This window comes from Homo sapiens, chromosome 11 (genome assembly GCF_000001405.40).
Source record: "Homo sapiens chromosome 11, GRCh38.p14 Primary Assembly".
NCBI lineage: Eukaryota > Metazoa > Chordata > Mammalia > Primates > Hominidae > Homo > Homo sapiens.
Window position 1 is genome coordinate 10310457 of NC_000011.10, and position 14192 is coordinate 10324648.

The following is a 14192-nucleotide window of genomic DNA, read 5'->3' on the forward strand; positions in this document are numbered from 1 at the left end:
TCTGAGCTATTCCTGGCCAAATACAGCCCCACACTGTAGGTCTTAAGTCGCCTGGAAGAACACCTGTGTCTACAAAACTGCAAATAGAGTTTCCACCCTTGAGGTGGGATCTTTTGTCTTGGCAACTGCTGCTCAAGGCACCTTTTTAGAGGATGTTCTGAACTGACTCAGAGAGAGAGAGAGAGAGAGAGACAGAGAGAGAGAGAGAGAGAGAGAGAGAGAGAGCGCTATGACATAAGGCCCCTCCTTTCCCCAGCTGAGAAGGAGAAGGCCTTGTTATCCTGAGTCTCACAGAGGTTTCTGCCAAAGCCAGGCTGGAGGCTTGGTCTTCATGTGCATGGGAAGAAGGGTGAGGCTAGATAGCTATCTGGTGGTCCCACTGGTCTTGTTCCAGAGCTATTTTGGAACATTCTGGAAAAACAATAAAATGACTGTGGCCACACAGGCAGCTGAATTTAGTAGGTTTTTGTACATTTATCCAACATTAGGAAAGTAGTTTTGAGTATTAAGATACAATTTTAGAGCATAAAAAATGCATTTTACTTATTTACAATATTTATTCAGTGTAGAAGAAAAAGATTCACCTGCAATACTACTTTCAGAGATAACCACTATTAATATTTTAGACATTTTAATCTTTTATTTATTTATTTATTTTTTTAGAGACAGGGTTTTGCTCAGTTGCCCAGGCTGGAGTGCAGTGGTTTGATCAAGCTCACTGCCTCAGACTCCCAGGCCCAAGCAATCCTCCTGCCTCAGCCTCCTGAGTAGGGGTGACTATAGGCATGATGCCTGGCTAACTTCCTTTTAGACATTTTTATGTATTATACCTATACACACTTTAAAAAATTGAATTCAGTGGAGAGAGCTGAATTAAACCTACTCAGTTTAAGGCAAATTGTCATTACCAATCTGCGCAAGGCTTCTCTCTTTTTAAAATTATTTTATTTTTTCTTCTTTAATTTCCATATCCCTTCACATCTCCTTTATAGGAACCTCTTTAATGTGTTTGATATCTGTGCTTATTATAGTACGCAATCTTGTAAAATCTGCTGTGTTATTTCACAACTTTACATGTTTTTAACCTGCAAACACATTGTGTTAAAATATTTATTGTTTCCTAATCTCACTCAACACTTTAAAAAAATTATCCAGGTAGATTTGTTTCCTCTTACTGCTGAATATTACTTATTTTATGGATCTGCCACATTTTACTTTTCTTGTCTTTTAATGAGGGACACTTGGGTTGCCCCCAGTAACCCTCTGCCACAAACAATATGTAAATTAACCTTCCATTTCATGTCCTCTTATGGGTCTAAATGGAAATTTCTTGGAGATATATACCCAGAAATGGCATCATTTAGTTAAAAGGCTTCTACATACAGATTACGCTAAATTGTATGAGATTGCTTTCCAAAATGCCTGTACCAGTATTCATTTCCACCAGCAGTACCTGAGAGTTCTCATCTCCCCATGTCATTGCAATATTTGTATGTATGATGGTTAATTTCATATGTCAACTTGACTGGGCTAAGGGATGCCCAGATAGATGGTAAAAAATTATTTCTGGGTATGTCTGTGAGGATGTCTCCAGAGGAGATTAGCTTTGGAACCGGTAGACTGAGTAAAGAAGCTCTCTCACCAATGTGGACAGGCATTATCTAATCTGTTGAGACCTGGAATAGAACAAAAAAGGCAGGGGAAGGGCAAATTCTCCCTCTGTTTTCTTGTGCTGGGACATCCATCTTCTCCTGCCCTTGGACATCAGACCTCTTGGTTCTTGAGGTTTCCAACTTACACCAGTGGCCTCACTCCATACTGAGACTGGGAGTTATACCATCAGTTTCCCCGGTTTTCAGTCCTTTGGACTCGGACTGAATTACACCCCCAGTTTTCCTGGTTCTCCAGTTTGCAGACGGCATATCTTGAGACTTACCAGCATCCATAATTGCATAAGCCAGTTCCCATAATAAACAAACCAACAAATCTATACATATCCTACTGATTGTGTTTCTCTAGAAAACCCTGAGAAATATAGCATGGATTGTCTTCTGATGTTTGCCATGCTGATGGGTATAAAAGTAATATTGTTTTACTTTCCATTACTGGTTGCTGGTGAATTTTGGCATATCTTCATTTATTTATTGGTCATTTGAACTTTTCCTAGTGGGCTACACAATTAAAAAGAAGTGAGATCATATTTGTCCATGATCTGCTGATGTGTTTTTTTTTTTTTTTTACTTCTCAGTATATTTGGGCATCTTTTGATGCCAATAAATATATCTATGCAACATCATTTTAATATCCTGCACAGTATTTCATTTTATTAAAATGAAATGAAACAAATTATGAAACAAATCATAATTTGTTTAACCATTCTTTGCTGTTGGATGTTAAGGTTATTTTGGTTTTGGGGTGTGTGTGTGTGTGTGTGTGTGTGTGTTTCTCACTCTGTCCCAGGTTGGAGTGCAGTGGCACAATCATAGCTTACTGTAACCTGAATACCCGGGCCCGACCAATCCTTCTGACTCAGCCTCTTGAGTAGCTGGGACTACAGGTGTGCACCACCATGCCCAGCTAATTTTAAAAATATTTTGTAGACTGGGGTCTCACTATGTTGCCCAGGCTGGTCTTGAACTCCTGGCCTCAAGTGATCCTCCTGTCTTGGCCTCCCAAAGTGTTGGGATTACAGGCATGAGCCACTACTCCTGGCTGAGTGCTAAGATTTTCCCTCTGTGTTTTTACCATTAAAAATGGCCCCAATATAGCTGGGTGCTGTGGCTTGCACCTGTATTCCCAGCTACAAGGAGGCCGAGGTGGGAGGATCACTTGAAGCCAGGAGTTCGAGACCAGCTTGGGCAACATAGGGGGATCCCATCTCTAAACAATTTTTTAAAGCCCTCAATGAACATTTTTATGTGCATTCAACTCATCTTTGAGTAATTTAATGACTATTTTTTAGGATAAATTATTACAAATAAAATTATTGGGTCATTGGGTCTGTACTCTTTTTTGTTAAAGCATTTGAGCCAGATTGCCTTCTGGAAGGATCAATTTTTACTTCTACTAACAGTATAAAAAAGTCAATTTCTGGCCAGGTGCAGTGGCTCATGCCTGTAATCTCAGCACTGTGGGAGGCCAAGATGGGTGGATCACCTGAGGTCAGGAGTTCGAGACCAGCCTGACCAACATGGTGAAACCCCGTCTCTACTAAAAATACAAAAAATTAGCCGAGTGTGGTGGCAGGTGCCTGTAGTCTCAACTACTCAGGAGGCTGGGGCAGGAGAATCGCTTGAACCTGGGAGGCAGAGGTTGCAGTGAGCCACGATTGCGCCATTGCACTCCAGCCTGAGTGACAAGAGTGAAACTCTGTCTCAAAAAAAAAAAAAAAGTCAATTTCCTATTTCCTTTGAAACACTGAACATTATTCTTCTTTTCAATTAATAATATTATGTCATGTAATAGGTAAACATGGTGTTTCCTATTGCTCTTTAAAAAGTTTTATTCTTTTCTCATGTTTTTGAGACTGTATTTTATATCCTTAATAATTTAAAACATTTAGTTTATAGTTTCGTTCTAATAACTCTGCTACCTTTATCTGCTGACTCTTATTCATTGTGATGTATTTCTTCCTATTTCCTGTAATTTGGGGTTCCGAGCTCATCTTATTAAAGCTTAGTTGATGGTAATTCTGTGTGGACTGGGTTGAGTCCCTTCAGAGAGATTTATGTTTGCTTCTGCCAATTGTCCCAAGGTTATTACCCATCTGAGACCATTCTTTATATTAATTTCTTAATTTTATGTTTATGAACCACGCAAAAGTGCATCTGTGCTGGTGATGTGGGGTGTAGCATTTTGAGAGTCCTTGGATTTACTTGAGTATCTCAGTTCCTTTTCTTCTGTCCCTAAACAAATCTCTGTTACCAAAGGGAGGAAACCCCTTCCGCAAAGCCCAGGCAACTGCTTTTCAGCTCAAGTTTTCTACTCTGGATTTTAGTTACCTTGGTTTAGTTTTCTGTGGCTTTCCTGTATTTTCATGGGGTTCAGCTATGCATTTAAAAGGATATTAAGTGTATTTTACTTAGCATTTCTAGATGTTTTATAGTAGCAGGATTTTCAACTTAGTCTGCTATATCACCAGAAAGAGGAATCAGCATTGTTTAAAAAACAAAACTTTAGACAAATTAAATTTAACATAGTTTAACTGCGTAAAGAAGGATTCATGAATCAGGCAGCCCCCGAGAGCCAGAGTAAGTTCAGAGCATCTCTGGTGCTGCCACGTGGTTGGAGAGGATTTATGGACAGAAAAACAAAAGTGACATTGAGAAAATGGAAGTGAGGGACAGAAACAGCCAGACTGGTTACAGCTCTGTGTCTGCCTTTTTAAAACAAGGTTTAAACACTTAGCAACCTGTGAGTAGTTGAAGTATGGCTTCTGTGATTGGCTGAGACTTGGCTGCTTGTTGCAAGAGTAGGTTACAGTGTGTTTTCACATCGTTAGGTTACCGTTCACTACGTATGCAAAAAGCTTTTGGCCAAACTTAAAATATTTAAGGAAGCAGATTTAGACTAAATTTAATTTAACAGCATCAACTCTTCTCACTACTTTAACTTATTTCCATGATTATTAGTGTAGCTTGAGTATTTTTGATGTCTTCATGATCATTTATATTTCCCCTTATATATATATTATTATTGTTTATTTATTTACTTATTTATTTTATTTATTATTAACAGACAGGGTCTCGCTTTGTCACCCAGGCTGGAGTGCAGTGGCATGATCATAGCTCATTGCAGCCTCCAGCTTCTGGGTTCAAGTGATCCTCCTGCCTCAGCCTCCTGAATAGCTATGACTATAGGCGTGTACCACCCTGGTTAATGTTTAAATGTTTTGTAGAGAGGAGGTCTCACTATGTTGCCCAGGCTGGTCTTGAACTCCTGGGCTCGAGTGGTTCTCCTGCCTCGACCTTCCAAAGTGCCGGAATTATAGGACTGTAATTATAGGATTATAAATGAGCTACCACGCCCTGCCATTTTTTTTTTGAGTTCTTGATTCATTCATTCTGTTGGAATATTTGTTTTTTTCCTGTTGATCTGAAATACTTTAATATTCTTATTGATTAAGAATACTAAAGTTTTGTCACATAGAGACACACCTTTTTTCTTTTTGTAGAGAGAGTGTGGCTTATTTTTTGCCATATAAAACTTATAAATATTTATATAATCAAAGATACCGATGTTTTCCTTTATAATTTCTGTCTTTACTGGCTTGCTTACGAAGTCTTTCTCTGCCTCAATATTTTAGAATAGCCATCTCTTTTTTTCTAATATTTTTATGATTTTGTTTTATACTTTAAACATTTTATTTTATTTATTTTTTTGAGACAAGGTCTCACTCTGTTGCCCAGGCTGGAGTGCAGTGGCGTGATTGTGGCTCACTGTAGCCTCGACCTCCTGGGCTCAGGTGATCCTCTCACCTCAGCCTCCCTAGTAGCTGGGACTACAGGTGCACACCACCACGCCTGGCTAATTTTTAAATTTTTTGTAGAGATGGGGTTTCACCATATTATCCAGGCTAAACATTTTAAAGCAAATGGAATTTATTTTGGCATCTGATGAGGTAGGGATTTAACTTTTATTTTCCCCTAAATTGTTAGCCAATTGTCCAGTATTTATACTGAGTAATGCATATTTTCTGTAGGACCTGAGGGTCTTCCTTCATCATATGCACCAGAGGTTTTTAAACTGTGTTCCACAGAGAGTTTTCCTGAGTTACTTCTGAAGTTTTCTGGGGAGAAAAAGGGGAAGAAAAAAATGCTAGTCTCTCTCTCCAGCTTCTAGTGGAACATCTCTATTCCTTTTTTGTTTTATTCCTTTTTGTTGGTGCTCCTCGTCAGATTTTATTTGAAGATTTTATTTGAAGAAAGAATTCATCTTCCTGCAAATCAGTAATATAATAATTCTTAAATAGTAAATATTTAAATTTGTTTCTGGCCCTTTTAATCTCTTCCATTGCTCAGTCTGTCTTTTTCTGCACCAGTTTTACAACTTAAAAAATTATGAAAGCTTTCAAACGCACAAAAACAGAGAAATAATAATATAATGACCCCCCATATGCTCATCATTAAAATTCAATAATTATCATGATATTGCCACATTTGATTCATCTATCCTTTTTTCTTTTTTGTTTTTAAAAAATTTTTTTGCCAAAGTATGTTTTTTCTTTTCTTTCCTGCCTATCCTTCTCTTTTCTCTTCTTCCTCTTTCTTTTCTTCTTTTCTTAATAACTTTTTCCTTTTCTTCAATTTTCTTTTGTCCAGTCATCCTATCATATCACCCACACATACTTCAGTATGCATCTGTTTTAAAAAAATGAAAATAATGTTTTCTTATGTAGCCAAAATGCTATTGTCACACTTAACATTAAAAATAATTCTGCAGTATCATCTCATAGCCAGGCCATAATCAACTTTGCCCGATTGCCTCAAAAAATGTCTTTTGACAATGGTTTGTTCAAAATAGAATCCAGACAAATTTGTTCTATCTCTAGTGTTTCTTTAATCTAGAGCAAGCTCCTCCCACCTTTTGTTTTTGGCCATTGGCTTGTTAAAGAAAACAATGATTTAATAATTGTGATTTAGAACTGTTATTATCAAGAAAAATCTTGGTTCTCCTCTTCACTCTGCCTGTGTGGACTCAGCCAGAACATCCTGGCCTGCTCACTTGTGGGGGCTTGCCTGAGGGGAGGTGTGGAGTGGCCAGTGTTGCAGTATTTCTTACATAGAGAAAGGGTATCTTGAAATGTTATTGTTCATGCTTTTCTTTGCTACACTTTTTCCACTTGACCTTTTCCCTAGTAAATCAGAGGCATTGCCTTGAGGAGAATTAGGATTGGTACAACCGGAATGCTAACAGAAAGAAACAGTCAGAATGAAACAGTAAATGTTCAGTTTTCTGACTTTAAAATAGCCTCTTGAAGCCCACATCAAAAACAATAGTTTTGAAAGCCAAAGCCTTTTGTTTGCAGAGAACCAGGTTTTGTTGAGAGAAGAAAAGGCTCTTGAGAATCAAAAGGGAAGGCCCGGAAGCATCAGGGATTGGGCTTTACCCACACTGGAAAGAGACTAGAGGGAGAGCTGGACTAAGCCGCCTTCATCCTGGGCGGGGGGAGAGCAGGGACCTATGAGGTTGCAGGGAGGCCTTGGGAAAGAGCCCACAGAGAGGAGGACATCAGCATGGAGAGACTGCAGATCAGTCCCAGCAAACCTGTGGAGGCCAGTTAAATGCCTGGAGCTCATCCCCTGCCATTCAAGTGAGTCCCACTGTTGCCTGAGCCAAAGAGCCATGTTAGTTGCTCTTTTTACTACTGCTGGAGATCTTTCATCAATAGCAGCCTGCAAGTCACGCTCAGATGGCCCAGCAGATGTGATACTTGCCTAAGTCTGGAGTCATTGCTGAACCTTACCCTACCCACATTGCCCTACATGGCAGAGGACACTAATAAGCCACCCCCAACTTCTTAGACCAAAGGGCAGAGCAATTAACACCAAAGGGGTGCTAGAGCTGAAGGAAGAGTCACCCACCCCTGTGTTTGGGAGGGACTGGACTCTGGGGAGGCGTACTCCACTACATTCACAAGTCACAGATGCGGGGGAATCCCCCAGCCTTGTTTTGCTCCTATGTTCAGCTAGTTGGTAACCTTTTGTCTCAATTTAATAGGTTTGTTCCACCAGATAGAGCAGTGATCCTTAACCTCTTCTGCCTATTAAAGTCATGTGGGGGAAGCTTCAAAAAAAAAAAAAAAACTGACACCGAGCCTTATCCCTAACCAATTGAACTGGATTGTCTGTGGGTGGGGCCTGATGTCATTGTGTGATTGTGAGTAACATTTTATCTTTGTGAAGCCACTTAACTTTGTTCGGCCTACACATTGTCCCCATACAGCTATTTCAAAAATGCACCCTGGTGGTGCTAACAGACTGAGACCAACAGTTTATTTATTTATTCATTTGTTGTAGATTGAGGGTTGTTTCCAGTCAAACAGCCAGAAATAGAAGGGTTAACTGCAGCCAGTGGGGCAGGTGTTTGGAGAGAAGACAAGCTGCAGGTGATGGGAAGGAGGCCAGCCCCAGCCGAGGGCAGAGTAACAGACAACAGGTGGTTGTGCTGTAGGGTGTTGGCATCAAGGAGGAACAGCAGGAAATGACAGGGCATCAGGCATGTCAGGGAGCACAGCAGCGCGCATTCTAGGAGCAAACTATAGGCAGGCCCAAGAGAGGTCCAGCTGGAGGCAGCAGACAGGACTGGAATTATTCCTTCTGATGGGCCTGATTGTGTCCCCTATCCCCATACACCAAATTCATATGCTAAACCCCTAACCCTCAGTACCTCAGAATGTGACTGTGTTTGGAGATAGGGCCTTTAAAGAGGAAATCAAGGAAAAATAAGGTCATATGTGTGGTCCTCAATCTAATATGACTTGCGTCTTTATAAGAAGACTATGGGAGGACACAGAGAGAAGGCAGCCACGTGCCAGACAACTAGAGAGGTTCCCAAAGAAACCAAACCTGCTGACTCCTTGTCCTTGGATTTCCAGCTTCCAGAAGTATGGGAAAATAAATGTCTGCTGTTTAAGCCACAGTCTGTGGTATTTTGTTATGACGGTCCTCACAAATGAATGTACTTCTGTCAAAGGGATTGATGAGAACAGGACCAGGCGACAGGCCTAGAAACGTGGTATCGTGGCTGGATTTCAGCACCAGACACGCAACAAGAGTTAGGGAATCAGGACAGGGTAACTGAGTCAGGGCAAACAGGATTTCATTTACTCATTCAATCAATGATATTTTAGATCAACAGTCTACTCCACGCAGGGCCCTGTTCTAGACACTGGGTAGCCTGCCATTGCAGCAGTCCAGATAAAAAAATTATGTTCATTTAGATTAGGAGAATGTCAGTGGCTAGGGTGATCTGACACTCAAACAACCCAATGTGGAGATGATGTCCTTTAAGTCTTCCTGATCAGGCAAGTACCTATTTGCAGAGGGTTCCAGTAACTTCATTTTCAGAGAGGGAACTGTGGGAGCAGAGACCAGGCAGGTTATTTATAACTAACCCAGGTATATGAATTTTCTCTTTGAGGGAAAGAAATTTTCAGTTTACAGTTTTCACTGGCACCTAGGTTAGCAAACTTAAGATGTTTGCCAGATGTCTTCATCTCATGCTGTTAAATTTAACACATAACATTCCAACTTGATCTTAACTTTGTTAGTTTTTCTAAAACATCAGTTTCTTCCCAAACCATGTTTCCATGGAAAACACAAGCATTTCCAGGCAATAACCCCATCATCTGTGCCACTATAGACAATCATCAGATAAACTTCCTTAATTCATACCACATCTGCTCTTTCAGCCCTGTACGACCTTGAGCATGCACGCACACGCACACGCACACACACATACACACACACACACACACACGCACAGAGAAAACAAAACTCCTAATTATTTTTTCCCAAAATAAGCATCTGACCCAAATTGCCCTTCCAATTTTCTATTAAATGAAAGACAAATTGTCAGGACCAAATCAGCCAACTTTATTAAAAACTGGGAAGTCTTTCAAAAGCTTTCAGGGTGAACTGTCATGTTAAACATGACAAGTAGTTAATAGGGGAGAATTGCATCTATATGGTCCCTGTTTATCTCTTGGCACATTCTGGTAAGTGAAGACTGCTTGGGCACAGGCATCTCTCTCCACTTTATCACTATGGAGGACTCTTTCTTCACCCCACTACTTGAAAAATTAAAGCAATGTGAGAGCCCAAGATATGCCAACTGATTTCTAGTCTGGCCTTGTTTCATTTGGCAGGCAGGATGGGGGCAGGGAAGTGGTATAGTCGAGGACATAGGCTTTGAAGTTAGACAACCTTGAGTTTACACAGACTCTCCCTCCTCCTAGCCCTGTAATTATGGGCACATCTCTTAACCCAAGTCTTAGTTTCATTAGCTATAAAATGGGGATAATAATATTTACCTTATAGGCTTGTTGTAAGGATGAATGATATAACATGGATGAAAGCAACAACCCCTGCCTGGCAGTATAGTATAAGCTCATTAAATGGCAATTCTGTTTAAGAGTAACGACTAAGGATGCTGTGGTTTAAAAAATAAAGAAAAAAAAAGCACCTGCTCTTTCTCAATGCCAGAACACAAAGGTAAAGCAGTGAATATACCATTTCTCTTTAGATTAATCATCTCTAAAATAAGGACATGGCATCAAGGATCTCAAAGATTCTTCCTCTATGACTCTAGCCTTCTGAGGTCTTATATTCAGGGAGAAATGAACATTGAAAAGCGGGAGAAATTAAACCACCTTTCTGACTAGTTCCTTGGGAGACCCAAGCTGTGCTTCATCAGTACTTTCAGTTCCAAAGCGTATAGGATCAAGTCAGTTCCAGAGAGCAGGGTTTGGATGAGGAGGCCTGGGTGGATAGTACCGGTTAACTCCATAGCTGCAAAAACAATTCTTTCTTCACAGTAATACAATGATAGCAAAGGGGACATTTGACCTTTTCAAGATTTTTAAAATGCAAAATACAAGGTATGCACATAATCTTGTTTACTGACTGATCCTTTAAAAAATCTGGCATATTAATAATTCCACTTAAAATACTGAAGATGGGAGCCAGAAGGAAACTTGTTCTTTCTATACAATGACTGAGAAGGGAATTCTAATGAATATTTTGGCACACATATCTCATTTTCTGGCTGCTTTAGGACCCAAGAGCCAGTAGGTCATAATTAAAGCCAATAATGGCAACTCCAGACAGCCCAAATATTTTCCTGGTGCTGTCAATTCACTGCATTAAATGTTTTAACATCATTTTTTGGGGAGTGTAGAACATACGCACAGAGGGGGAATTAAATGTTGATGTGAAATTTGGAACATTTGCTGCAGGTTGCTCCAAAAGATATTGTTTATTACATTCAAAGGAATTATACAATGTTTTCCTTATTAGATAATCTTAAATGACCCTTTCTGGGCTGAGAGCTGTGAAGTGTGTCCTTAAGTTGTCAGAACAAAATCATATTTTCTGCAGAAAAAGAAAACAAAAAACATGTTTGGGGCTGAGGCTGCATGTCATGTAAATAAATGAACGTCTTCTACCTCCACTGGATCTTCAGGAATGTTCTCTTTGGTCACCAGGAGTTGTGTTGCTACAGAGTTAAAGCTACTCACTTTTCTGTCAACTCTACTTCCAAAAAGAAAACCCACAAATATATGTTTGCAAAATCTGTTTGGGATCCTGGAGACAAGGTCCTTAACTTTATCTTTTTCCTGAACAAGTTTCATACTTAAAAAAAATAATAACAATTAAAATTCCTCCAGCCCTACCCCCACCTTCTTCCATCCTTCCATTTCTACTTTAAATGATAAGAAAGTTTCCTCTTGGATGGAAATTAAACATCTCAGCCTGGGTGAGGCAGCTCAGGCCTGTAATCCCAGCATTTTGGTAGGCTGAGGCAGGAGCCTTGCTTGAGGTCAAGGGTTCAAGACCAGCCTGGGCAACATAAGGAAATCCTCCTTCTCTAATCTAAGGGGAAAAAAAAAAAAGTATCTCAGTCTAAGGTGTGTCTGAGAGAGTTCTGAATCACCATTTTGGGATGGAACAAACTGACCAGTCACTTCTTTTTTTTTTTTGAGACGGAATCTCGCTCTGTCACCCAGGCTGGAGTGCAGTGGCGCAATCTCGGCTCACTGCAAGCTCCGCCTCCCGGGTTCACGCCATTCTCCTGCCTCAGCCTCCTGAGTAGCTGGGACTACAGGCGCCTGCCACCACGCCCAGCTAATTTTTTGTATTTTTAGTAGAGACAGGGTTTCACCATGTTAGCCAGGATGGTCTTGATCTCCTTACCTCGTGATCTGCCTGCCTCGGCCTCCCAAAGTGCTGGGATTACAGGCGTGAGCCACTGCTCCCGGCTGACCAGTCACTTCTTAAAGGCAAAACTGGATTTGCTCTGCAAAACAATTCAGCAAAAACTTGGGTTCCAACTCTGGTGCTACACTGTGACAATGGAAACTTTCCAGCTACAACTTGGAAGTTGGGAGCCAAGCACAATACTAAGTCAAGGAAGGTATTTGAGGCCAAAGCAGACAGTGGTCTTGGCACTGCCTGCTCCTGAGCCCAAGCTGCAGCAGCTGTGGGGTGGTGATGCAGCTTTCAGAGATCTCTAAATCTCTAAGTACACCAGAAACCAGATTTTATTAACTCCCCTTTTCCACTTTTTTTTGCCCCTACATTTCTGCCATGGATTATATCATAATAGATGGTGAAAATGCTGTGAGGTGTATACTCAATTCCTAGGCATTCTTCCACTTAATCATACTCAGTTTTCTTTGAGGGCCTCCACATTGTAAATGAGCAACACCTTGATACTGGGAAAATGAATATGAAACTCAGGGCCACAGCCTCTGTGATCTGGTCATTCTGGGGCAGTCATTTTCCTACTTGGCCTACAGAACCAGGCAGGTCTCTGGCCTGGGGGTGGCGGGTGATGTTGTATTCTCTTGTCAAAGTGCACAGAGCCCACTCTGAGAAGATGCTATACTCTTCACGTTACAAGACGGCAATATGCCCGTTTCTGGGCCAATTGGCTGACTCAGAGATGAGGAGATTATTCCGTGACACTTTGTTTTCATTCCAGTCCAAAGGGCAAAAAAAAAAAAAAAAAATGTAAAACTCTGCTGCCACCTGCTGTTTCTTTAGGAATAAATTCTTGAAACGGTTCTAGGTTGATTGTATATTGGTTATCTTAGCCAAGTGCCTTGGTGGTGAATTTGGGGGATTTTGGAATATAAGTTTATGTAGTTGTGTACCAACTGGACTGTCATTTCCTAGGATGAACTGTTGGACCACATGGGTGGCTTCTCTCTTTCAGTCCATTAAGTCCTGCCTCCCTCATCCCTTGCTGAGACTCAAGGGCAGACTCCTTGATCCCAGACAACTTTCCAAGGGAGTTCACGCAAGGCTCTGACCAGTGAGGCTCCAGAGCAAAACCCAGGAGGCTTATAGGTTTAAGTGTCTTTTCTTTATGGGCCAATGATGTCTGAAAACTGTAGCAGTAGGTAAATTCCCCAAGCACAGACTATTCTCTGCTGGGTGTCAGTGGGTGGTATTGGAAGTGCCTCTCAGAAGTGCTCTTCTCAGCTTGAGGTTCATTTGTGATGAGGTTCATTTGTGGTGTCTCCAGATGTTTTATCTTTGTCTTCCTTGAGGAAACTGAGGCAGATTAAGGAAGACGAGTGTCCAGGAAAGTAAAGGCTAGCTCCATTTGAATCACACCCAGGTGAGAATACTTGAGCTCAGGTTAGATGATGAGAGGGATGAGGAAAACAGTGGCTCCTCGGAGCTCAAATAAAGAGCACTGGAGCATTAATATAGTCATAAGCTTAGATGGGCTTGATAAAGCCCTTAGTCATCTTATTGGAGGCATCCAGAGGACAGAGGCTGCCTTGCCTTGACTATATTAGTGGCTTGTTGCTGCTCCAAATCAGAAAGTGGGATTTTCCTTTTTGCCTTCTTTGGGAAGATCCATTTGTATGTAAATGAGTTCTTTTTGATTGCAGTCATTGTTGTAGCTGAGAATTCTTTCAACCAAGATCTTTTTCTTGGCAGAGATTACTGAGTCTATTAAGTGTGTTTTCATATAATTCTAAGTGACTTTTTAGATGGACACAGAAAGAAGTGTTAAGGAAATGACCCTTGGTCTTTTCTCCTATCAAAGAGAAAAGGCATTTGAGTGGTATCGATAAGCATTGAAGGTAACTGATGGCTTATCACTGTGTCTGGCATTATAGCTGGCACATTTATTGACTGAATGGTCAAACTTATCACCCGTTGTTCTTCCCAGAAGGTTCGTGAGACCTGTTGGGGAGGGACGGGGATAGAAAGGAACAGAAGGAAGAGTCTCAGAGTTAATCAGGTGGAAAGTCTGTAAGTGGAGTGAACCATGGGAGCTAGAATGCTATGGTAGGACCAAAATTAATACTGTATATGTCAAAATAAATGTGTATTACTTATAAAGTATATACAGTTCCTAAAAATTATCAAACAAGGTTATTATGTACAACATTTCTCCCTTCTGTGTCTCATTCCCTAAATATTATGATTGTTAACATATTGCACAAGCTT

At 40.7% G+C, this 14192-nt stretch overlaps 1 long non-coding RNA gene across 1 annotated transcript in view, besides 1 other annotated feature; it reads left to right on the top strand.

Moving 5' to 3' along the window:
• The window catches only part of CAND1.11 (uncharacterized LOC100130460), a 122361-nt gene that overhangs the window by 2144 nt on the left and 106025 nt on the right, over window positions 1–14192 (top strand). The gene's annotated exons all lie outside the window — the stretch shown is intronic.
• Window positions 4439–4508: a silencer, noted in NCBI's record as "silent region_3149". NCBI's record gives its function as "represses an Ori minimal core promoter by ATAC-STARR-seq in GM12878 lymphoblastoid cells {active_cell/tissue: GM12878}" and the evidence as "EXISTENCE:reporter gene assay evidence [ECO:0000049][PMID:35858748]".